We start from the raw sequence: 26,953 nt of genomic DNA, 5'->3' as shown, positions 1-26,953 counted from the left end.
TCTTGATATTTTGGACGGGATAATTATTATTTGTTTTTGGGGGGCTGTCCTTTGGGTTGTAAGACATTGAACAGCATCCCTGGCCTTGACTCACCAGATTCCTGTAGCACAGACACACACAGACTCCCGCTGTGACAATCAAAAGTGTCTCCAGACATTGCCAAATGTCCCCTGAAGGGGATAGTCACCCCTGATTGAGAAGGGCTAGTCTAAGGTACTGTTTCTGAGACTTAGACCAAGGGTTAATTGCATCAGAATCACCTAGTTGCTTGTTAAAAACACCATTTCCTAGGCTCCCCCGCTGCCCACTGTCCCCCCCCCTCCCCCCAGCGGCCCCTGATGAATCAATCCATGTCTATAAGTAGGTCCCAGAAGTCTGGCTTTTAGCAAGTTTCTCAATTGAGCATAGCAGTAAAGCTGGCTGCAGGCATATGAGTTTTACCTGTTCAGTAAAGTTATCTTTCTGATCAAAGAACAGAGTATCACTAATGCTCTAAGGGAAGTTCTTGAGAACTTGAAGTAAGGTACTCTCATAGATTTGATTCAGGCCTGACTTCCCTATATTGAATTTTTTTTTTATGTCAAGCTATGCTGAAAGGAAGTTCTCCGTCTTGACTACATATTAGAATCACTCAAGGAGCTTTGAAAATTATGGATGCCTGAGCTCCACCTCCCAGAGCGTCTGATTTGATTCAACCGGGTGTGGTCTGGGCATCAAGATTTCCTAAATCTCGCTGGGAGACTCTAGTATGTTTCCAGTGTTGAAAACCACTCTCCTGGACCAGATTCTCAAACTTGAATGTGTTTAAGAATTACATGCAGTGCTTATTAAAATATAGATATCTGTCCCCCAATCCCTGCTAGGAACTGAGGTTAAGTAGTACTGAGATGGCATCCAGATATCTTCATTTTTATCAAGCTCATAACCACACACTGTCACATATACTCACACACTGTCACATATAGTCACACACATCCCCACAGACATACTCATGCACATATATAAGCTACAGAGCCATTTTGAGGACTACCAGGTTACAGTACTTGGGTATTACCTATTATGAAAACAGGAATGATCTCCCTTTTATGAAAGCAGATTGACTCCAGAAGAAGGAGATGAAGAAGCCTAGATTCCATAATGCGGGAGTCCCAGATCCTCAAAGTACGATGATTCGCCAAATCAAGAAATGAGGATTAGGTAAGAATGTGTAACTGTGGTCTATAAAGGATAATCTTCCTGCCTATGTATTTATTTTTAATACACAGACAACAAATGGAGGCCATTCCTTGTGTCTTAATAGGAAGCAGTCACCCTCGAAAGGAACTAAATCATCACCTTGGGAATTGTGGCCAGTCATGAGACATGCATGAGGAGACTGAAGGGGTACGTGCCTCTCATTCCTGCTGGAACCTGGATTCACTCATCCACGTATTCAGAATGTGAGGAGAAACCATTCTATACCCAATCCTCAAGTAGACATGGATGATACAAAGATTATTTTAAAAACACAAGTTCCCGCTCTGAAGTGGTCATCTAAGTCATCATAAATCCCTGATCAGAAGCTTGCAGAAAACAGAGACACCCCCGAAAGAAGGCAGGGTTGGCCAGCAAGTCCAGAATATGTGAGACTTGGAGTCCAATGAAATTTTTTTTCATATTTTGCAATGATAAGCTAATGAGCCAAAGTAAGCAGGTCATGGCACCCCCAAAAAGCTTTTCACAGTTTGCTTCTCTTGAGGAGATTGATTTTAAATGTGATGTTCAGCATCTACCTCCAGCGATGGAAATGAAAGGTGGCAGCCCCAAGAGAGCCAGGATCAAACACTGGCCTGGCCTTGCTCATGTGGATGCTGGGCATTCCCTATTCTCCAACAAGACCAGCTCTTTGGATGCTCACCAAAAAGTCAGCTCCCTCTCCCTCTCCAAATTTATTTCACTCAGGCTGGTTGCACCTGAAATAATAAACTCTGAGGTTACATGTCCCAAATCACCTGTCTTCTCCATTTCCCTCCCGCCTTGTGGCAGCCCACACTCAGTGTGAGTTCTTTAGAGAGGCATTTGTAAACTGGGAGCAGTCTGTGTATCGCAGGCCTGCTATGGAGAAGTGATCTAGCCCCTCTGAGTTTCATTTTCCTCCTCTGTGGAATAGGACTGATAGGATTGTCAAGAGGATTAAATTCTCCCCACTCATCCCCAATGGGGTAGCTCCTCCTTTTATTAAGATTTCAGCTTAAATATACTGCCTTCAGAGACCACCCAATCTCTTTCTATCATGTTGCCCTATTTCAGTTTTCTACATAGCACTTACTATCTTTGTTTGTTTGTTCATAAGCTCATTGATTGTCTCAGACTGGAAGCCTTCAGAAAGCAGGAACTCTGTGTAACTTGTTCACTGCTGTATCTTTAGCATGGAGAATAATGCCTGGCACATAGTAGGCTCTCAGTAAATTTTTATTGACTCATATGTGCAAAGGACCTAGTACGGTGCCAGGTACTCAATAGGTGCTCAATAAATGATAATCATAATTATTATTTATAATTATTTTTTGAGACAACACAGGATTTTGATTCAGAGAATCTTACTATATTTATGAAAGCGGTGATAGGGGCCTCATGTGAGAGGTGCCATGACTAATGAGGCTGGTTACTGATTGGGGGTCAGGGAGGTGCCAGGGCAAAACATTTTTGTTGTTATTTCTAGTACTTCTAGTATCAAATTTAATACAACCTATGCTGTTTTCTCTAATGCTACTAAAACACGATTGCTTATAATTTTTAAATGAATTCTGTCATCGACACAAATGATGTGCCTAGAGACACAAGCGTGCCCTCTTGATTTTTCTCTCTTTATCTAATTTTCTCCTACTTCACTGATCTGAGGTTACTGAAAATTGGCTTGTGTTACTTACTTCAAGCAATCCAAAACTAACCTTATTGATTTTGCTTTCATCTCACCTTGGGGCAAAGAATAGACCCATAAATCTGAGCATAAACCAGTAAGAATTTTTTCCTGAAGATGATGTTCAAAATCATATCATAAACATACAGTCTTACAAACAGCATGGTAGATTTAGGCAGAAGCAGTTATGTCTGAGGGTTTTGTTTTTTTAACTGCTTTATAATTGAAGGGTTTAAAGCAGACAGTTTTAGAGGCTTTTGTGGAAGGCTCTGGGAGTGATCCAACATGGAGTGGTAGCCCACAGGATCTGACAGGGAATGCCATTGATAAAAGTCCAACATGTCTTACTATTTCCTTGGGATAAGAAAGTTGGAACCGAGATAATAATGTGTCAAAAGCCAGAAAAATTGTGCTCCCTTTCTTCATCACAAATGAGTAAATATATCTGATCATTATCATGGCTTCCATGGAACATGTGGTCTGTGTCTCCGTTTCACAGCCATTGCACTGTATGTCTAAAGAGGATGCTTGAGTGAACTGCATTCTCTGGGTGATTAGTTGTTTCTACAACTGACAATTACAGCCAGAGTCAGAAACTTTTAGTGACTACAAATGTAGTTTTCTTCACATTTTCTGTTGTTCAGGTCACCCTATGCCGTGTTCAGGTCTTTTTCAGGAAGGACACTTGGACCAAGCAAAAGAAATAACATCAACAACAATAATAGTCACAGCTATTATTTATTGAGCACATACTATGTGCAAGGCCCTGACTAAAGACATTACAGATGTGATCACACAGTCAAATCTTCTTCCTCTTTTTTCTCCAATAGGAGTGTCAGAAGTAGAATTAATAAAGATCCTCTGCCTAGATGTGTACTTTGTGTAAAGAAGAACCACCTCACATTCATATTAAGAATATTTAGTTCAGAACATTCTCCAAAACATGCTAGGGACTGGGAAGATACACAGATTCAAAGAATATTGGAATAGGCAAGAGGTTTATGTTCAGAAACATTCATGTCACATTATTTGTATGAGCAAAAATCCAAAGTGGCTATCAAATAAGAGAATGATTTGGTACATTATGGCACATTTATGTCTGCAATACTATGAACTTATTAAAAACCATGTGGATCAATACTAATAGACAGGAAAACATGCTGAGTGAAACACAAATAGACAAACACATGATCCCTGTTTATGGAAATTTGTACACGTATGGGTAAGGTCAGAGAAACCTTGGGAGATGTTTACTAAATCATTTTATTTTATTTTATTTTATTTATTTATTTATTTATTTTTTGAGGTGGAGTCTCGATCTGTCGCCCAGGCTGTAGTGCAGTGGCTCGATGTGGGCTCACTGCAAGCTCCGCCTCCCGGGTTCACGCCATTCTCCTGCCTCAGCCTCCCGAGTAGCTGGCACTATAGGCGCCCACCACCATGCCCAGCTAATTTTTTGTATTTTTTTAGTAGAGACGGGGTTTCACCGTGTTAGCTAGGATGGTCTCGATCTCCTGACATTGTGATCCACCCGCCTCGGCCTCCCAAAGTGCTGGGATTACAGATGTGAGCCACTGCACCCAGCCGATGTTTACTAAATCATTAATCCTACTCATCTCACATTAGGGTTGGAAGAATGCTGGGTGATTTTTACCTTTCTCTTTGTATTCTCCTACAACTTTTTAAAGTTCTTATAATGAGCCTATGAATGTGTATGACATTTGAAAAATAGACTTTTTAAAGAGCAGTTTTAGGTTCACAGCAAGATTAAGCAGAGGGTAGAGAGAGTTCCCATATACCCTCTACCAAACTGCCCCATGCACAGCCTCCGCCACCGCCAGTATTCCCATTGGAGTGGTACATCTGTTTCAATCAATGAACCTACATTGACACATCATTATCACTTAAAGTCCATAGTTTACATCAGGGTCCACTCTTGGTGTTGTGCATTCTATCAGCATGTATTATTTTTAAAATATACGTTTTTAAAGGTTTTAAAGAATGGATTAATAAAATGGTCTCAGTTATTAATGAGAATTGGATGTTTAGGATATCATCTTCACTGACCCCAATCTTCCTAGGACCCTTAAATGAGGATGACTGCCTAGAAGGGAGAGTGCAGGTTTAACTTGCTGCAGCAATATTTTATTTCTGCGTCTTCTCCCTGCCTTTGGGTTGCCTGGGAAGCTGAAATAAGCAGCTACTCCCCATCTCTTTCTTAACCTATATCCCCGCAGATCAAAAGAAGCTGAACTTGGAGTTGTGGTTTTAAGGGCTCAGGAGATAAGAAAGAGCCCATGATGAGACAGAAAGAGATGTCCTGTGGAAAATCTCTAGGATAAAACTTCAAAGTGAGGGACAAGCTTCTCTCTATGTGCCATGCTGTTTGTGTTTGTATTTCAGTAGTTCTTCATCTAGCCTTCTTTGTCTTCATCAGTGGGGAAATGAGGAGGATGGTTTCAACATGGAGGCCCTAAATTCAAGATTCCAGAGAGCAAATACAGGCCATATTGTCCTGATAGTCCCAAGATCTCACATAAAGCCTGGCCTTTAGTCAGCACTCAATAAATGGGTGAATGAATGAGAAAACAGGCAACAGGGATAACAGGACAGGAGGGGCTTTATAGAAAAGCTATCAACAAGCTTTAGGTAAGAGTCAATTAATAAACATTCCTTGTCTTAAAAAATGTTTGCTTGTGTGTATGTGTGTGTGTGTGTGTGTGTGTGTGTGTTTAGAGAGAAGGTGTTGCTCTTTAGCCTAGGCTAGAGTGCAGGGGCATGATCATAGCTCACTGCAGCCTTGAATTCCTGGGCTCAAGCAATCCTCCTGCGTCAGCCTCCCAAGTAGTTTGGACTACAGGTGCACTCCTCCATGCCTGGCTTGTTATTGTTATTATCATTATTTGTAGCAACAGGTTCTCCCTATGTAGCCTAGGCTGGTCTCAAACTCCCAAGCTGAAGCAATCCTCCCACCTAAGCTTCCTGAGTAGCTAGGACTAAGGCACATGCCACCACATCTGGCTAGTTTTTCAGTTTTTTGTAGAGACAGGATCTCGCTATGTTGCCCAGGCTAGTCTCCAATGCCTGAGATGAAGCAATCCTCCTGCCTCAGCCTCCCTAAGTACGTTTGTGTTCTTAAAGGTAACTTTGACTATGCCTCACCTTCTCATTCAGATCTAGCTTATTCCTTTATAGTGCTTCTCCAGTGAAAATGAAATTTAATTTATTCTTTCTTCTATATTCTACCATCACCTTCCAAATGTCCACCATCTTCATTTTCATTTGAAATAACAACAAAAATAATTGGTCATTGCATACTAGTTAAGATTAGGTAAACCAACTTTCATTAGTAATAGGGTTCTGTACCTACTGGACTATAAGAAATGTAGAGAAATCCACCATTTCTGTAGGTAATGATCACAGAGAACTCTGTAGTCCTTATTTCCATGCCTTTCTTGGGAAGAATAGCAGAGTAGAAAGAGTATAGGTTTGGACCCTCTATCTTAATCGCTGTGTGTCCTTAGGTAAATTACTGGAACTCTGAGCATCACTTTACTCATTTGTAAAAGCGTAAAAATAACTCTATTGGATTGTGAGGATTATAGTAAATGTGTATCTGGAAACTGCTGTTTAAATGATTATCTTTCACTAAGGTCTTATTACCAGAACAGCGAAAAGGATCCCATTTTTCAGTTTTTGCATTGCAGTAACTGAAGAGAGAATGATCAAATGCTTTGGTCCCTCTTTCAAAATATTTATTTTACATGAAAAAAAAAATCAGGGCTAGGTTTTAAGAAAGTCCTAGGAGGTCTAAATGCTTGGATCCGTTGAACTCAGTGAGAGACACCTGGCTCCACATTTTTACACAGGGAGGTAACTCTTCAAACAAAAAGGCATACCACCTGCTGGTTGCTTTATTGAGAAACTGAGAATTATGTAACTCGGAATCACAAACAATCTGCATGTGAAATGAGGAGGCATACAAGGGACAAGTTTAATCAAGTTTATGGGCATTTTGAGATCTGTAACCACAAAGCAAGCACAGGTGAAGAAATCTTCAGTTATAAGGCTGCCGTATGCCAAATCAAGCCTCAATGCAAACATGAATTGATCTGATTATTTATCCAGCTCTGGCATGAGACAACAAAAGGGCAGTGGTCTGGGAAGCCTAGAGTAAAAATACTTTGACCGTTCAGTATTTCACTTATGGAAAGTTATCTCAGATCATTAGCTTAGTAGCCCTATTGCAGAAAGAGAGAACAATAACATATTGGGGTTGATGATGTAATGATATGAACTGTGGACTGCTTTTCATTGGTAGGGAAAGCAGGTGTATAAACATCAATATACCAAGCTAAATGTGAGGACTGTTTTATTTTATTTTGTTTTATTTATTTATTTATTTATTTATTTTTTGAGACAGAGTCTTGCTCTGTCGCCCAGGCTGGAGTACAGTGGCACAATCTCGACTCACTTCCACCTCTGCCTCCCAGGTTCAAGCGATTCTCCTGCCTCAGCCTCCCGAGTAGCTGGGATTACAGGCATACACCACCATGCCCGGCTAATTTTTTGTATTTAGTAGAGACGGGGTTTCACCATGTTGGTCAGGCTGGTCTTGAACTCATGACCTCAGTGAGAGACTCACTGATCTCAGGTGACCCACCCACCTCGGCATCCCAAAGTGAGGGAGGCATGAGCCACCGTGTCCAGACTTGTTTTCTTTTAAAGAATCTCATTTGGCATGAGAGGATCTTTGCTTTGGACCAAAATCAGTAAATTTCTATAGAAGTCCAGAGAGTAAATGTTTTTGGCTCTGCAGGTCATATGGTCTCTGTCACAACTATTCAAGTCTGCTGTGGCAGCACAAAAGCAGCCATAGACAATTTATAAACAAATGAACATGACTGCCTTCCGATAAAACTTTATTTACAAAAATGGGTTGTGGGCCAGTCTTGGTCCATGAGCCATAGTTTGCTGACCCTTGCTTTAGACCAATGTACTCTGTATCTTTGTCACCCCAGATTCCAGACTATTTATACTGCCAGCTGACATCGTATGAACTTAAGTTTGTCTTTGCAGTAGAATGGATTTGTGTTGTGTGTTTTAAACCTGTGATTTAGTCCAGGAAATATTCCTACCATGAAAACATCACAGTAAGACTATATCTTCCCTTCCAGCCTTACAATTTTTCCCTTAGGTGATTTTCAGGATGTCGCTGTAAACTGCCTAGTTCAACTTGTGTCTCTAGTTTTAATTCCATCTTTCAACAATTTCTCCAAGCACCAATAAATCTTCATCCTTCACACAACAGAAAGGTCTCTATTTCTGTTTTTTCTTTTTTTCCAAACACACTAGATAAGCAAAGACAAATGTGTTGAAGGCTCTGTGTTATTGATGTACACTACAGAGTGCCTTGCCAATCATAGATGTTCAATAAATATTACATGAATGAAAAAGTGAGCAAGAGAAGAATGGAGGAAAGAAAGGAAGGGATGGAAGGAAGGAGGGAAATGATTATCAAATATTGAGTCAGTGAGTCAATGTGTTTGCCACATCAATAGAGCTGGTACTTTTGGAAGAAGAGCTATAGTCACGGGCTTTCTAAGTACATGTTTTGTTTAAAAGACTCATCGATGAGGAAAGAGTAGTCCTTCATTTATTCAACAAATATTGATTAAGGATTATCTACATGCCATGCTTTAGGGTTACAGTGGTAGACAAAATCCTTGGGCTCCACGAGCTCCACGAGCTCACATTCTATTGGCAGGGGCAGATTGTAAATAAACAAATCTATATATGTATACACACACACACACACACACACACACACACATATATATATATCTATATATATATTTTTTTGAGATGGAGTCTCGCTCTGTCGCACAGACTGGAGTGCAGTGGCACAATGTCGGCTCACTGCAAGCTCCGCCTGCCGGGTTCACACCATTCTCTTGCCTCAGCCTCCTGGTAGCTGGGACTACAGGTGCCCACAACCACGCCCGGCTAATTTTTTGTATTTTTATTAGAGACAGGGTTTCACAGTGTTAGCCAGGATGGTCTTGATCTCCTGACCTCGTGATCCGCCTGCCTCGGCCTCCCAAAGTGCTGGGATTACAGATGTGAGCCACCGCGCCCGGCCACAAGCCAATATATATTAAGATTCCAAGGGATTGGCTTCTAGACTCGCTCTGCAACAGTCAGCACTTGGGATTGTTGCCCTCAGCAACTGTTCGTTGAAGGAATGATCGAAGTCTGCGAGTCTGTTCTGCTCTGCCTCCATTTCCCACCTGCAGAATAGATCTGCACGATGGTCTCTGGGTAGAGTTAAGAGCAGAGGAAAAATGAGAACCAGGATATATTTCAGGCACTGTGAGTAGCTCTCTTGCTCCAGCATCAGGCTGGGGGATAGGAGGTGCCTCTTTTAAACAATTTGAAGTTTCCCAGTCTGGTGGCTGGCAGGGAATCCACTGTAAAACATTGGTGGTAGCTTCAGTAACTAGAACCAGTAGGCTGTCCTTGACAACTTGATGTTCATGCCATCTCTGGGCCATATCAGTAACAGCACCACAAACATGGCTGGTGCCCATGGCAATGACAGTCTTGGGAACGTCTGCTTTTTCTCCCTCCAACCCCCATGCTACACTCCCAGAGCCTAGGCTCCTGAGGGGATAAACAGAAAAAGGAATTTGCAGCCAACACAGAGAGAAACAATGAGGATGCTAGCTGCTGCAGCAGCCAGACGAGCCACTGCTTGTCTAGACAAAGTTGTTCTCTGCAAAGTTTCAGTGTCAGGAGGCAGGCAGAGGAGACCTGGGAGCAGACCTCATCCTGACCTCCTCGGTGGCACAGGGACAGCATGCATGTCACTCCAGGAAAGCCAAGCTATTCCAGGAGCAGAGAATTATTTCAGGGATGCATCTAAAGCATCAGATATTTGTGAGCTATCTAGTATATGACCAAAAAGTGGCTGTGAAAAGGGAGAAGCCAACACAGCCATGTCCTCTCCAGAGAAGAAGACACAGTTTAGGGGAGCAAACACGGGTCCTGTCATTTTCTGCTAATAATCATATATCGCCCCTATACAGAGCTCTGTGCATTCCAAAATACCCTCATTTTTAAAAATAGTTTGTTGAGCACTTTCTGTCTGTCAAGTGATGTGCTAGGCTTTTCATACCTATTATTTAATCCACTTAACTACCCTGTAAAAGGTAGTTATCATTAAATCCATTTTTCACATAAGAAAACTGAGGCTCAGGGAAGTTAAATAAAGTTGTCAAGGGTCACAGAGATAGAAGGTAATGGAACTGGGATTTAAACCAAACCATCTGATTTCCTCATATGATACTATCTTTAATTTATTCATTATTTCATGTATTCCTCACCACAAGCTGTAAGATAAACAGATGGGGAATTATTTTCCTGATTTTATAGCCTAGGACTGGGCTGTCCAGTACAGTAGCCACTAGTCACATGGGTCTATTCAAATTTAAAAATTGATTAAATTAAAATAAAAATTTAAAATAAGTTCCTTAGCAGCCATTAATTCAAGCACTTAGTAGTCACCTGCGACTAGAGGTTACCATATTGGACAATGCAAATAATAAATGTTTCCATCACTGCAGAAGTTCTAGTGATCCACACTGGCCCAAGTTTCCATCCAATCGTTTTTGAGGATTCTCTACTAGGCACTGTGCTAGAAGGTACAATGATGAGAAGGGCATCATCATTTCCTTAAGAAGGTCACAAATCTTGGGGGTCATGATTGATTACATAACTTGCTGGAGGTATAGACAGGGACCACACCCCTATTCACCTCCATCTCCACCATGACATTGACATTCTGGTCTCTTACGTGGAGATGGGAAAATAGAATGAAGTCTCTCAAATATTGGGTCTTTCTAGATACGCTCTTGCACCAACATTCAGGCTTGTGGTAAACTGGGTTGTTCTCTGAGAAAATGTGTATGGGAGACAGAAATAAAAATAAAGAGGAAAGAGTTTGTCTAGGGAGAATCACATTAAGGTGGTCAAATAGAGATCGCATGTGCCTGCTGTTGAAAAAGAGCATTCTTATGTATCCATTGAGCTCACGAAGACATAATCCCAGCTCTTTTTTTGGGTCCAGTCACTGATTTGGGCAAATATTCTTGAAAGATAAATCAGAAACATGCAACCTTCCCCCAAAACAAACACTTATGAAGCTAAATACAGCTCTATGGTAAGAATAGTAGAGAAAGTAGATTTAACAACATAAATCCTTAGTTCAAATTCCAGCTACATCTTTTCCTAGCTGTGCAACTTTAGGCAAGTTACTACACGTCTCTACGTTTCAATGTCACCATCCATAAAGTGGAAGTGATAATAGTCCTTGTGTCTTACGTTTCTTGTGAGAATCAAATATGGGATTTATGTGAATTGTACAGCACTCACACATGCCACGAATAAAAATTGTAGTTTTGGATAGCTAAAAACCATTTTACCCATGTATATGAACAGATCTGATTTTTCTAGACCAGTAAGTGTTAAATTGGTTTTATGGTGGTTTTTTTTTTTTCGTTTGTTTTTTGAGACGGAGTCTTGTTCTGTCACCCAGGCTGGAGTGCAGTGACGTGATCTCGGCTCACTGCAAGCTCCGCCTCCCAGGTTCAAGCGATTCTCCTGCCTCAGCCTCGAGAGTAGCTGGGATTACAGGCGCATGCCACCACGCCCAGCTAATTTTGTATTTTTAGTAGAGACAGGGTTTCACCATGTTGGCCAGGCTGGTCTCGAACTCCTGACCTCATGATCCACCCATCTCGGCCTCCCAAAGTGCTGGTATTATAGGCGTGAGCCACTGCTCCTGGTCTTCTTTTGATTTTTTTTTTTTTTTTTTTTGCAGAGATGTCTTTATGAGAAAAATATCAAAATAGCCTTTTGAATATTGTGAGCCTTACAAAAATGTCTATGAGTTCTTCACAAATGGTGGCTTGTGACCCAAAAGGTCTATTCAAGCTATTCTCAGAAATAATATGGAAATTAAGGTAATTTAGCTTTGATGATCTAATCTCTTACCAGGTTTGCATCTCAGACACACCTTGTATTTTGTTATATGTTAAGCCTGTGTTAAAGAAAAAAAATTCAATCCCCCAAATTAGTTCTTCCAGGTGTTTCTAAAAAATAGTTTCCATATGACAGCAGCTCTTGTCAATATCCTGCTGAAAAATGAAACATTAAAAAAAGAAACTTAATACAGCTCTGACTTTGTCTAGGGACTCCTTCAGTTTCCTGTCTCCAGTGATATCATTTTAAACATTTGCTTTCTTCAAATGGCTTATGTGTGCTCTATAACTCTATTTGTGATGTGTCTTGGCGTGTTGCTGTGGAAATACTAAATAATTCCACATGCGTATGTGTTTGCCTCTCCACGTATATTCTGGGATTTACTTGAGACCTGTGATTGTGTCTCCTTCTCCTCTTCTTAATTCTCTCTTCCTTACTCTTTCTTCCCTAGGACTGCCTCAAGACAGTGTCCAACAAACAAGTACTCAATCACTCTTGACTGATTGATTGGTTTTCTAATTTTTTTAAAAAAATTACTTGGATGTATTGACTAGTATGCACCATGCATAGAATGAAGTGCTTTATATGTGTTCCTTCTGGGGTCTTCACAACAGCCCTACGAGTATTATCTCTGCTTTCCAGTTATGTGAACTGAGGCTTAGGGAGAAAAGTCGCCTTTCCGAAGATCACAGCCGATGACTGTGTGGCAGGTCTGGGAGTCAGAGCTAGGCTGTCTGACTCCAGGCTCATGTGCACTGCCTGTAGTAGCACTCTTTTGCCATCCTTTTAACTAGCTACTTCTCTAAAGTCACTACTTTGAAGATTTAGAAAGGAAAGAGTGTCCTTTGGGCTAGTGAACCTGATGTCTCTGACAAAGGATGCTAGATATGATGCTCATTGTAAAGTCTACTGAATTCCTCCCTGATCTTCATTTCTAGAAGGTTCATGTTTCCATCCTGATAGGCTTTGATTGTGTCCCCACCTGAATCTCATCTTGAATTGTAGTTCCCATTTTCCCCTTGTGTCATGGGGGGGACCCAGCTGGAGGTAATTGAATCATGGGGGCAGTTACCCCCATGCTGCTGTTCTCCTGATAGTAAGTTCTCATGAGATTGAAGGTTTTATAAGGGGCTTTTCCCACTTTGGCTTGGCACGTCTCTTGCCCGCCGCCATGTAAGATATGCCTTTGCTCCTCCTTCGCCTTCTGCCATGATTTGTGTGGCCTCCCCATCCACGTGGAACTGTGAGTCCATTAAACCTTTTTTTTTGTTTATAAATTACCCAGTCTCCACTATTTCTTCACAGCAGTATGAAAACAGACTAATACACATCCCCCTTAAAACAGCGCAGATGCCTCCTCATTGCATCGAGGCTGGTTGGTGTATGCAGCAATGTATTAACTATTCCCGCATCCTCTACCTACTTGCTGCTCAAAGCGCAGTCCTTGGACTAGGAATGTTAATATCACCTGAGATATTAGAAATGTAGACTCCGAGGTCCTGCCTCAGACTTAATGAATCATAATCTACATTTTAACAATATCCCTAGGTGGTTTGCGTGCATGTTAAAGTTTGAGAAGCACCTCCCTACTTGTCAGTTGTCACATACAGTGAAACTTCTCTCTTCCACCACTACGGGCAAAAAAGTAAGATGGGTCAGCAGATCCTGATTCAAGTGACTCTAAGCAACGTGATTACATCAGTCCAGGGGGTAGTGTTGATTTTTCCGTGAACACATAACCACTGCCATCAGATGTTCCAGGCTCCTGTCTCAACAGCAATTTTTCAAGTTAGTTGAAAATTCTCTACATAAGGAGCCAAGTGTTCGAATTAAAATACAAAACCTTGTCTACCAGTAGGTTTTTAGTTCATTGTGCTTCCCAGAGCATCACCCTAATGTCCCCCTTTACCAGATCCAAGCTTCAGCTGCTCAATTCATATGATATTTTAATCTAGCCTAATGCCAAAACATAATAACTTTGTTAAAGGAGAGGTGAGTTTAGGATTACAGTCCCTTTTAAGATCTGGACTAAGAAATGTTTATACCACCAGTCTCCAGTGTATGCCAAATCGTGTTGTTGCTGTGGGCAGTACAGTAGAATGGCCTCATTATTTCTCTGTCTAGCCTCTTTAGAGCTATAAAGCCCAACCATGCTTTGTACTTGTAGTGGTTTGAATGCAATGTTATTTTGCAAAATAGAACTAATGATTATTCTGCAAGGGCTTAACATGTTTGCATCACAATTTAGACCCTGCTTCTTTTCAATAAATATATTTAAATTTATTGTTTTTTCCCGTGCTTGTATTCAAGTACTTACCGAGTAGTCTGGCAGGTACAAAACAAGTCAGACATGAATAACTGCTCTCAAGGAGAATATATTCTGGCTGGGAGAACAAGGCTGTACACAGGAAAAAATTGAAGGGAGTATAAATTCATCTGTGGAATTGACCAAATGGTGTTGTGTTCATGGACATGAGAGAGTATGAGCTTCATCTGTGAAGGCCTCATAGCAGAGGAAAGACTTGAAGAATGGATAGGCAAAAAGTGAAGAAGAGGTTATTCCAGAAGGAAAATAATCTTAGCAAAGGGATATGTGCCAGTAAGCCTGGAACCTTCTTTACTACAGCCTTGTCTGCAGCTAACATTAATTGACTAACATATCCACGGCTGTGTGTTTCTTCAGCTAAAACTGACTAGATTCAAAGATGCATTTAAGCCGGGTGTGGTGGCTCCTGCCTGTAATCCCAGCACTTTGGGAGGCTGAGGTGGGAGGATCACTTGAGGCCAGCAGTTTGAGACCAGCCTGGCTGATATGGTGAAACCCCCTCTCTACTAAAAATACAAAACTTAGCTGGGCGTGGTGGTGTGCACCTGTAATCCCAGCTACTTGGGAGGCTGAGGCAGGAGGATTGCTTAAACCCAGGGGGTAGAAGTTGTAGTGAGCTGAGATGTTGACACCTCACTCCAGCCTGGGCAACAGAGCTAGACTCTGTCTTAAAAAAAAGCAACAAAGAAAGATGCATTTAGTCAACACATTTTTCTAGAGCTTAAACAAAGTTTACAATTATAAAATATTACAATTATAAATAATTATATATAATATACATTATATATCAATATTAATCTACATCAATAATATATTGGTTAATATTAATATAATGATTCTTCTATATAATTAATTTTACATTAATATAGTAGTAAGGTAATTATGTTACTACAGTAACAATATATAATTGTAAGATATAAATATATACTTATATGATCTAATTGTATATATAATAAATTACACAATAATTTGTAATTCACATTTTTAGGCCTCTCCATATGTCATGGCTGAGTGCTTTACATGTGATATAACAACTTTATAGGGGTATTTTGGTCTCCACTTTACTAATAAGAAAACAGACTTAGTTTAGGAACTTAACCACACAGTAAGTGGCATTGCCTGTATGTGAATTCAAAGTTTGAATGCAAAACCCACATTCTTAACATTATGCCATACTGCCAGATATTCTGTATACTATATAGCATTTTGAATATTGTTTACTCAGGCACAATACAGCATTAAGATGTTAAGACAGGGAAAATAACCCCTTGAAGCAATTTCTGATCTTTATGAGAAGAGAAAGCCTGATGTATAGAGCTGAAACTATTGAGCAACATTGTGTGGCAACAATCTCTTTCTCAAGTCCTGAGAGTACATTAAGAAAGCATGGAGGCAAGGTTAGTTTGGGTAAGACTTCTTAGAATTAATAATTTGGAGAAGATTAGCAGATCTACTATTCTAGGCCAGGCCAAAGTTCCAATTTAATTATTTACATGCTTGTGTGGTTATATATTGTTCAAATATGACTTCCCAACATGGCCAAAATTTCGAGACACGAATTGAGAAAGATTTGGGTCATTTTAGAAATAGCAACCACTGAGTTTCTGACCTGATTTCCTGGGTGTGTGTTTAAATGCCTTTCACTCACTTATTTTCGGAGCTCATGGGAGGCAGTTTATGAAAACTGATTAAAAGAATGAAAAGTCACATGCTCAAACCTGGGTTTGAGAGCTTATCCTGCCACAAATGGTCATGAGAGTTAGCTTTTCCCTTAAACTCTAGGCCAGTGCGCTCAGTGCAGCCCTGGCCGGAAGCATGGGCATAGCCTCAGAACCTGTTAGAGATGCAGAATCTCAGGTCCCACCCCAGAGAGGCTGAATCTGAATCCCTGGGGTAGGGCCAGTGATCTGCATTTTCACAAGCTCACCAGACTCAAGGAACTCTGTGCTAGGCCTCACCTTCCTCATCTCTAAAAAGGAGGTCATATAGCATAGTACCTTCTTCACGGGAGCATTGTAAAGATTAAGTAAGATAATGCACATAAAACGCTTAGCGCAGTGTCTAAAACAAGAGTGATTAATATTATCTTCCATGGCTTCTTTTCTTTTTCTTTTTTTCTTTCTTTTTTTTTTTTTTTTTGAGATAAGCACTCTCTTTGTTACCCAGGCTAGAGTACAGGTGGCACAATCTCAGCTCACTGCAGGCTCTACCTCCTGGGCCCAAGTGATCCTCCCACCTTGGCCTCCCCAGTAGCTGGGACTACAGATGTACACCACGATGCCTGGCTCGTTTATGTTTATTTTTTGTAGAGATGGGGTCTCACTATGTTGCCCAGGCTGGTCTCAAACTCCTGGGCTCAAACGATCCACCTGCCTCAGCCTCCCAAAGTGCTAGGATTACAGGCATGAGATACCACATCCAGCCATCTTCCATGGCTTTATTTTATTTATTTATTTTTTTATTAAGAAGGGATAAGAAACCACAACCCTAAGCAGATAAGTCTGTCTGCCTTAGGTTCCAGCAGAAATCAATTCTTACAGCAAGTGATTAAGACTTGTCTGACCTCTGCCTTGTGTTACTAAGAAAACCTGAACTGTATAAACAGGTTTCTGTTGTGGTCTTTCTTGGGCTCCTGTTTGAAAACCAAGGAGGTCTGTGGCTGAGTTTTTACGGTCAGTCCAGAGGCTCCATGGAGCAGCTCTAATGGATGTGTGTGTCAGATTGCAAAAACACCCAGACTGGAGCATTTAAAGTCCTATTTAGAAAACCGTCTCCAGGTTTCACATTTGAGAACATAAACACTTGTGAAGTGCAATGCTTCTTCCAGGGAGACATGGAACTGGCTCAGCTCCCTGTGAGGTGCCCATTATATATCACTGGCTGAGCAGAGTCCTCGTAAGACCCAGCTTGACCCAGTGTGCTGACTTTCAAACCATCTGAACCCATTCTAGCATCTCTGTAGCTTTTGCTTAGTGTTTACGTATGAATTTGGAGCATCTATCCCGCTTAGAACCTTCATGCTTTTCACTTGCTCTTTCCCCCTTGGACAGAAGTCAGCAAACTTTTCTGCAAAGACCCAGACAGTACGCTCTGGAGGCCATAGGATCTCTGCCAAAACTATTCAACTCTGCAGTTGTAGATCAAAAGCAGCCATAGATGATATGTAAATGAATGGGTGCAGCCGTGTCCCAATAAAACTTTACTTACAAAAAACAGGTGGCAGGCCAGATTTGGTCCACTGAGCCCGGACTTAGAATCTCAAAACATCTAATAAAAGGGACCCAGATGACTAGGCAGCAGAATAATTTGGTGTCCATGGGTAAAGTTCCAGCTTAGAAGTAGTTACTGGCCTGAACTTAGACATGCCTTGGGTCATGGAAAGTAAACAACGCTAATTGTCCCTTAAGACCAGCTGGACCAAGATCTATTCTGAAGCTGTTTTGCTTCCACCTGGTGGGAAACATCTTCTCTTGGCTTAAAACTTTTAATGAAGATATTGCCTCAGAGTTTGAGAACAACCAAAGTGAGTTCCATATCTGGAATAAGGAAGTTTTCCTCTAAATGATAAGGTAGAAAGGGAGATGCTGCTTAGATATCAATGAGTAGGATGCAGGCTCAGACCTAAAGCACAGGCGTAGAGACGGGGGCCTGTGTCTTCCTTTCCTGAAACAGCTCAGGATACATGAATCCTGGTGCTTAGAAATGACAAAACTGGCCCATCTGCAAAGAGGTAACCCAGAGGTTGTGAATGTCGTAGATTATTCTGTATCCATGTCCTAGGAATTCTGAAGAATGATAAGCATCTCTATATAAGACAGAAGCAGAAGAAACCAGTTGACAAACGTTCTAACCTGGGTTATTCTTTCCTTTGCAGGGTTTTTGCAGTGCCAGGTGTGGATTGAGATTCAGCCTTGTAAGACTTACTCACTGAAAACTGGAATTTGCTTAGTTCCAAGGTAACCTTTTGTAACAGATGTCATTGGCTACCTATCCAATAGTCATTCCACTTCCCTTTGTTTTTCCTTGGAGGAGAACAAGATTTTCTTCATTATACACAATAAAATTGGGATGTCCGTGTGTAATTAAGAAAACATTGCTTGGTTTAATTCAATTATGATTATCTCATTATACATACCAGTGATTGTTTTATAGATAAATATGTAACCCAGAGCTGCCCAAAGAGAAATAAATTCTTCTGGAGATTTCTGGAAAAGGTAAACGTTCCCTTAAAAAGAGGCATTGGGGAAATGTGTCATCTTGCGAACATTGTTGATGTAGAGGTTGCAACTATGGTGGCCACCTTGCAACCCTGGGAAAGCCAAGCTATAGATGACGAGACAGAATTAACCCTCAGCTGCCTTACCTTGAGGCTTCTTGTTATGGACAGAGTAAAAATGTTCCTTATTGTCTCAACTAACTGGTTAGTTAGTTTCTGTTTCTTGCAACCAAAATAAATCCGCAGTCTTACACATTCCTGTTTGGTCTCTACCGGACCAGTTCAGCTGTGAAGTTCTGCTTCTACCAGTTCTCAAATTTTCTGCTTTCACTATTCCCACCTTGTTTAACCACCTGGTAGAGGCCTGGGAATTGTACTTTGTTATGTTTTGTCCATCAATAGTAGCCCCTGAGGTTGAGGTCTTACCGGATAGGATCTCACCAGGAAGCCTCTGCACGGTGAAGACTTACTACTCACAGACTGAAGTGATTTCAGTTTGTTACTTTTGTTATTAGAAGGGTTGGTGATAATAACGCTGTTTCTTTTTCATTCATCCAGTACAATTGTCCTTCTCTAACAAAGCTTGTAGGCTAGTGGATATAGTCAAGTAAACTACTACATACAACATAATGATGAGCCATAGTGGGAACGGGGGCTGTGGCAGTTCAGAGGGAGGCCCTGTTTTTGACCTCCACAACAGTCTCGCATATCCTATTTCTTCCAAACTTGCAATACCTCCTTCTCTGGAAATCCCAGACTCTCACTTTCTGGCCTCCATTGCAGCTAGGACATGAACATATAAGCCCCTTCTGGCCAGAGAGATGTATGAGAAAATCTTTGAAACACTTCTGGGAAGGATTTTTCTTGAGGAGTAATATCAACACAAGTTATTTTACTTTTTTCCTAATCTTGGTTGTTTTGTCAGAGGCCATAATTTGGAACTACAGCAGCCATTTTGTGACCATGAGGCAAAAGTCAAGAGAACTGCAGAAAAGTTGAATCCAAGTCTTGATATTGTTATATCACAGAATTAATCCTAGCTCTGTGTCTCTCCATATTTCTTGTCATGTTTTAATACCATTTTAATCAGTATCTGTTACTTACAACTAATAGAATGCTAAGTGGTACAAAGGATTCTAACCTGAACTGAGAGAGTCAAAGAATGCTTCCCGGAGGAGGTGACTCATGAACTAAAGCATAAAAGATAGTACACATTATGCAATGGAAGCAGAAGTGATAAAGGAGGGTGCAAAGACTTGGAGGAGAGAATGTGGCAAATTTAAGAACTCAAAATAGGTAACTATCACTGGAGCACAGAAAATTGCATATGTACCAGCAAGAGAGAAGGCCAAAGAAGCCCATGGGAGGAATGGGGTGGTGGGGGCAAATCATACATGTCTTTGTAAGTCCTGTTTAGAAAATTTACCCATTTTCTTAAGAACATTAGGAATATTGTTAAAGCCTTTTTCATTCTCCAGGTCAAAAGTAATCACTGCTTTTACACACCCAGATTGCATTGCTGATAGTTTGCTGTTATTTCAGCTTATTAGGGATTACAGTTTGTCATTCAACTATCTGTTTCCTCCAGTAGACTGGAAGATCTTGGGGGTCAGACTATGTCTGATCTTATTTATTTTATTTTATTTTATTTTTATTTTATTTTGTTTTGAGATGAGGTCTCACTCTGTGACTCAGGCTTAAGTGCAATGGCATGATCTTGGCTCACTGCAATCTCCGCCTCCCAGGTTCAAGCGATTCTCCTGCCTCAGTCTCCTGAGTAGCTGGGATTACAGGCATGCGCCACCATGCCCAGCTAATCCTGGCCTTAGGTGATCCACCCACTTCTGCATCCCAAAGTGCTTGGATTACAGGCATAAGCCACTGCTCCCAGACATCTTATCTCATTTAGATCAACCATCTCCAACATATCTTAATCAAGGTTTGTTGAATTGAATTACCCATCCCATTACAGTATACAAAACCTGAACCATTTAATGTGTTTTACCTTCATGGATCATTTTTAATACCACATGAAGCCTGGAGAGGTAAAGAGAGGGGTCCAAGCTTCATGCAGCTTGTTAAGACAGAACCATAAGGATTAAAAATAGGTTTTAAGTCTCTTGGTCCGAAAATGCTTTCTGCTACATCATACAGTTTCATCCCACAGCAGGTATTTCCATCACTAAAATGTGTGTACTTTTGTTCATTAGCAGTGAGGTGCCAATGAGATTTAAAAAAATTTTTTTCATGTAGACATTTCCAGAAGCTTCTGTTTGTAGTGGTGGAAACATCCACTCACATTTTCTTTTCTTGGGGAGAATCTGATTGGCCCTTTGGAGTTAGCAGATGTAAGGCAAGTAAAGCCTCTTTGTAATGGCTTAAGACTAGCATTCCCCCATGTCTCCTGTTCTGTAAAGCTCCTAGAATACTAATGGAGTAGGGGATAAATTTCTGTAGGAACTGTATTAGGGCAACTACCTACCTGCCATAGCAGATAAATCTGAACATCTCAGTGGCTCAAGTCAATTGTTCTATTTCTCACTCACATAAAAATTAATGTTCAGGAGGACAGCATCAGAGATCCAAGCTCTATCTTGGATCCACCATGCCCTGTGGCTTTTGCCAGATCCTCTCAGTCTCGTAGACTCAAAGAAAAGAATTTTCACCATGGACATCACTTCTGCCCACATTACCTTGAGTAGGACTGTCACAGAGACATTTCTCTGCATGTGAGGATGGGAAAGGTAGTCAGTCCACCTTGGGTGCAGAAAGTTAGCGAAATGGTTTTGGTAGACAAGTAGTCATCTCTGACTTAAGGATCAATGGGAATCTTGGGAAAAAGCAGTGATACCTCTTACCTTCTGAGGTTCTGCTTTATATAGTATTTCTGATAGACTAGGATGGATCAGATGAGGCCAGGGAGCACAGGAGAAATTTCACCATAACTTGCTCGTTGATTCACCTCAAAGCAGGATTATGTTTTCCACGGAGGGGTAGGTTAGTTCTGAACATGATATGTGGCTGCAAGTTAGCAATCCCTCCTTATCCAAACATTGTCTTGGAGTAAGAATGTGTGAGTGCCCACATATTAAAAGAGCTGTATATTAAAGAATTACATATATTATTGGGAGCCCATACCCCAATATGAAGTGACCTATCCTTCATTCAATCCTTCAGCAAAGCCTACTAAGTACCTACCATGTGCCCAGAACATTCTAGGTGCTGGGGATACTGTTGTTCCCTACTCCCACAGGGCTTAGCTTCTAGAGAAGGAGAGACAGGATAAATAACAAATAAATATAGTTTCAACTAGTCATAAGTACCATGAAGGAAACAGGGTTAGGAGATAGAAAGTGACCAGGAAAGAAGGGTCTAGCGCTCTTCTAGTTTGTGTAGAATAGATTATGATGAATTTAACCAAGGGAGAGAAAGCCTTTATTTCCCTATTTCTTTTTTATTTATTTATTTATTTATTTATTTATTTGAGATGGAGTCTCGCTCTGTCGCTCAGGCTGGAGTGCAATGGCGCAATCTCAGCTCACTGCAACCTGTGCCTCCCTGGTTCAAGTGATTCTCCTGCCTCAACCTCCTGAGTAGCTGGGACTACAGGGGCGTGCCACCACACCCAGCTAATTTTTGTATTTTTAGTAGAGATGGGGTTTCACCATGTTTGTCCAGGATGGTCTTGATTTCTTGACCTCATGATCCGCCCACCTCAGCATCCCAAAGTGCTGGGATTACAGGCGTGAGCCACTGCACCCGGCCTATTTCCCCATTTCTAAGACCAAGCAAGATTGCTACTGGGCCAGCAATGGATACCTGGAAAATTTTTCTCTGTGGTCCAAGACTACCCCACATTTCTGGACCTTTGCTCTCAAGAGCCATACTATGTGGCAGCAATAACAACAGTAGCACAACATGAGCATCACGGATAGATCAATGATATTTTCCAAGATCTTCTTTGTAGAGGACAGTACTCACTTATGCCAGTGAACACCCCTGGGATTCTCAGACTTTGCATAGGAGGTAGAACTCCTTAGAAATAGGAGGAGAAATGATGAGAGATGGGGAGTTAAAATCGTACAATTTGATGAATAAGAGAAATGTTGCTTTAGATGAAGGAAGACGTAGCAATTCTACCTTCATTCCACAATGATTCACTAAACACTTTCTGTGGATCAGATACTGTGTTAAGACCTGGAGATAAGGTGAACAAATGCAGCACAGCCCCTGACTTGACACATTTTAGTTTAAAGGAAAACTGAGAGTTTGTGACAGAAAGTCAAAGCTACCCGTGCGCAATTTTTTGTGCTCTATGTACAAACCACTTTGCCCATTTCCATAAAGTGGGGTATAAAGGTGAAGCCTTGTGTGCATCTTTGTCTTTTCATGAATACATGAGGACATTTTTCTTCCCCGCTCACTCCTCCCAGAAGGGGCACTGGCTTTCTGTTCCTACTAATGATTCTGCAGGCGCCTCCCTCTTCTTGGGGAAATTCAGACTCCTTCTGTTTTGTGACCAGGCAGCTCTGTGGGTCCCACAGTGTGATATACTAACCTTATCCTGGGCTCCAGCTGCAACATGCATCCTCTGATCCTGACCCTCCCAGATCACACCGGGGTTGCCAGAAACCACTGGTCCCCATTGTGTGTCATTCCCCCAAAGTTAACTTTGTCATTCCACAAATGCTGCCAGAGGCCATGTCTGAAGACTATGCTGAAACAGCTCATCCAGAAGGAATATTCGGTCAATTCTTTGTCAGAAAGCCAAGAAATAAGACATTTATTTGATCGAATTCATGGAAACGTTGGTCTGTTTGATTTTTAGCAGAATTTCGTCTGGTTAGCTCATGTATATAGGCACAGTTCTTATGTCCTAGGATTACAGAGCCCATGGTGTCAAAAGCCACCACAACAAAAATGTATCTGTTTCCTCTCCCAAGATTTTCATCCTATCTCCATAACCATCCTGGAAAGCACTTGAGGGAAAGAACTATGCCATATTTTCCATTGCACAGAGTAGGTGTTGAATATTTGTGTCAGGCAGGGTCTTGCCAAGAAAGAGATGGCCTACTCACACTGAATAAGTTGAGAGTTTCACTATCCCTAGGCCTGAAAAGACATGAGAAGGAAGTGGAACTGAGACAGGGAAGGCGATAGAAACGGGAGAGAGAGTGAGAGAGAGAGAGAGAGAGAGAGAGAGAGATATTTTACCCACCATGTCCCAAATCCATAGAGAAAGAGATGAGAAAAATCCCCGACCTCACTGTCCACCTCCCCTCCGATCATCTTCCTGGGTTCCCCAGTGGCTGAAATCCCCTGGAAGCCAGAGGGCACAGGAGCCTGTTGAAGTGACCCATATGTGTCAGCCTCTCAGGACACGGAAAAATCTAAAAGGATGGAAAGTAGAACAAGCAAGAAAGACAGACAGAAGATATCCAGCCCAGTACTGTTTTTTGTTAGTTTCAGGTTTTCTTTTCTTTTCTTTTTTCTTTTTTTTTTTTTTTTTTTTTTTTGAGACAGGGTCTCACTGTGTCCCTTAGGCTGGAGTGCAGTGGTGTAATCTTGGCTCACTGCAACCTCCACCTCCCAGGCTCAAGTGATGCTCCCACCTCAGCCTCCTGAGTAGCCAGAACTACAGACGTACGCTACCATGCCCGGCTAATTTTTGTCTTTTTGTAGAGACGGGGTTCTGCCATGTTGCCCAGGCGCGTGTGTGTGTGTGCGCGCGCGCGTGTGTGTCGTTTAGATTGGATCTCACTCTATTACCCAGGCTGGTCTCAAACTCCTGGACTCAAGCAATCCTCCTGCCTCAGCCTCCCAAAGTGCTGGGATTATAGGTGTGAGTTATTCCACCTGGCCCCTACACTGTTTTAACCTATTTCCAGAAAAGGTTGATTGTATGCCCTTTCTGTGTCTGTGTCTTACTTTCCAAGTTAAGGAGTCATGTGGAATCACAGAGGCTTGAGCTTAGGAGAACTCTGAAAGCACCAACCCCTCTAGGATGCATAAAGCTTCTCTCAAGTATCCTCAGCAAGTGGCCCTCCAGCCTCCTTTCGAATGCCTCTGTTGATAGGGACATCACTACATATGAAGGCATTTGAGGGCACTTCTAATTAGAAGCCTTCACAAACCAGCTCCCTTGAATTTCCTAGTTTTATTCCTGGAGGTCACCAAAACAATTCCAAATCTCCAACTCCCCTTCACAAGCATGCTTGAGCCTGAAAACTTTCCATTTTGTGCATGGATAATCACTTTCTTAACAGGAAGGAGAGGAGAGGCTACAAAGCAAATAAAAGCCAATTTCCCAAGCAAAGATAGAAAAGAACCCAAGGTGTGAGGAGGAAACCACTTCTCTCCTCGCATCCCACCACAAACGCATCAAAAACACTCAGAACATGGATGCGCACGGTGGCTTACGCCTGTAATCCCAGCACTTTGGGAGGCCGAGGCGAGTGGATCACGAGGTCAGGAGATTAAGACCATCCTGGCTAACAAGGTGAAACCTCGTCTCTACTAAAAAAAAAACAAAATTAGCTGGGCGCGGTGGCGGCCGCCTGTAGTCCCAGATACTTGGGAGGCTGAGGTAGGAGAATGGGGTGAACCCGGAAGGCGCAGCTTGCAGTCAGCCGAGATGGTGCCACTGCACTCCAGCCTGGGTGACAGGCTCAAAAAAAAAAAAAAGAAAAAAGAAAAAAAACAACCTCAGAACATCCTAAAAATGAAAATGCAATGAGGAAATCCCTGAGAACTAGAGCTGGGACCCTGAAGAAAGATTTACTTATGTTTCAAAGCCACATGCTTTAGATTCAGAAGCTGACCCCGCTCCCCTCAGCAACACAAAAGAAACCAAGAGCCATGATGAGCAACAGCTAGTGTAATTAACTAAAACCTAGCGGCTAAAAATACTCTTTGCCCAGGCAGAGGACCACACCATCTTTTTTAAATCCCAGCCTGCAGAAAGCACTCCGCGTGAAAAGAGCCAGGTCATTTGCACGAATCAGTGTAAAACATAGACAGTAGTGTATTTGTTAGGCTGGTAACACATGAGAAATGGAGGAGAGATTTGTTTTCTGTAGCAGTAGACAGAGCATGCCAGCTGGCAGCGTGCCTGAAACAAATAACCAAGACACAACTAGATCTGTGTGAAACGGTGAGAAAGTTTAGAGTCAGTGGGGCAAGGAAGAGCTGGGGCTGGGGTACACTGAAGAACACCACGGACAAGCAGAGAGGACAGGGAGAAGGTTTGCAAACTCTCTTAGTGGTAAATTCACCGTGCAGGGAGAGTCACGTACAGATTAGTTTGCCAGTTCCCATCTCCCACCTGTTCTCAGCTGTCACCACATCAGCATTCCAGTTCCAGCCCTGGATCATGAGCCTCTTTCCTCTTCACTGCTTTTGAGAGTTGAAATTAAATTTGGTTGATTCCATTTCCTATGCTTCTATTTGGCAGTGGCAGACCTAGAAATACCAGAGTAGGAATATCAAGAAGTAGGTTTCAGTTGTTTCCCTGCTGTTTACTGTATAAACTCAAATGCCACAGCAACCTTCCAGAGAGGAGTTTTTTTTAGTCTAGTTATTTTTTTATCGGATAAATAGTTCTGAATTTACATTCAGTAAAATTCACTTTTTGTTTTTGCTGTACAGTTACTTCTGGGTTTTCCTAACTACCATGATGAACATGCGGAACCGTTGTCACCTCAGAACTTTCCTTTGTGCTAAAGATTTGTAGGCAGGCCTTCTCTCAGCCCAGCCCTGACCCTTGGAAACCTCTGATAGAGATTTTCTTCTTCTAAAATGTCATAGGAATGAAATCATAGAGTATAACCTTTTGAGTCTGTATTAGCCACATTTCACAAATAAGACATAACAAGCGCGGAGAAGTTTGGTAACTTGCCCAGGGCCATACAGCTAGAAAAGCAGAGCAAAAACTTAAGTGCGAGCCCACTGATTCCAAATCTTATCCTTTCACCCTAGTGCTAAGCAGAAACTCTGCCTGGCCTGAGTTTCCTCGTCTCCCTCATCCACATGTGAAAAAGGGGCCAGTGAAATCGTGAGTGCAGAACAACTTCAGGAAGTGCAAAGCCCTTTGTGCGAGGTGCATATTGCTCATTGTTTCTTCCAGTCTTTGTTGCCAGCCAACCATTTTGCAGGAAAACATTGTGCCTTCCAAATTGCCCTTCTGAACATGGTGGTGCACCTTTGAACCTGGCCGTAATCAGTCTGTTTAGAGAAATACACACACACACACACACACACACACACATACACACACACTCACCTTCTGCTAATGCAAGAAGTATCTCAGGAGGTTAAGGACCTGTCTGGACTGGAAAGATGAAGCACTGTTTTCCACAAAGTGGCAAAGCCACAGACTTATTTAATGGGATTTGAGGTTGTGCAGGGGTGTTTTGGTCATTGGAAGGGATTTTTCTATTCTCAGGACATAAAAGTAACTGCTATGAAATA

General features: G+C 41.7%; 1 long non-coding RNA gene across 1 annotated transcript, besides 1 other annotated feature; it reads left to right on the top strand.

The window, feature by feature from the left end:
• The first annotated feature begins 1,096 nt into the window (after positions 1-1,096).
• On the top strand, positions 1,097-18,359 carry LOC105377142 (uncharacterized). The gene is made up of 3 exons (XR_940935.3): positions 1,097-1,198; positions 1,302-1,384; positions 18,143-18,359. It is a non-coding gene; the product is annotated as an uncharacterized LOC105377142 (long non-coding RNA).
• Positions 24,292-24,461: an enhancer, noted in NCBI's record as "experimental_70957 CRE fragment used in MPRA reporter constructs". NCBI's record gives its function as "activates a minimal promoter by MPRAs in K562 erythroleukemia cells, with activity observed for the non-introgressed 3:66745376 variant allele {active_cell/tissue: K562}" and the evidence as "EXISTENCE:reporter gene assay evidence [ECO:0000049][PMID:34662402]".

The sequence above is a fragment of the Homo sapiens genome, chromosome 3, assembly GCF_000001405.40.
Source record: "Homo sapiens chromosome 3, GRCh38.p14 Primary Assembly".
NCBI lineage: Eukaryota > Metazoa > Chordata > Mammalia > Primates > Hominidae > Homo > Homo sapiens.
Note: the sequence above shows the minus strand (reverse complement) of the source record. Positions and strands in the feature narration are given on the sequence as shown.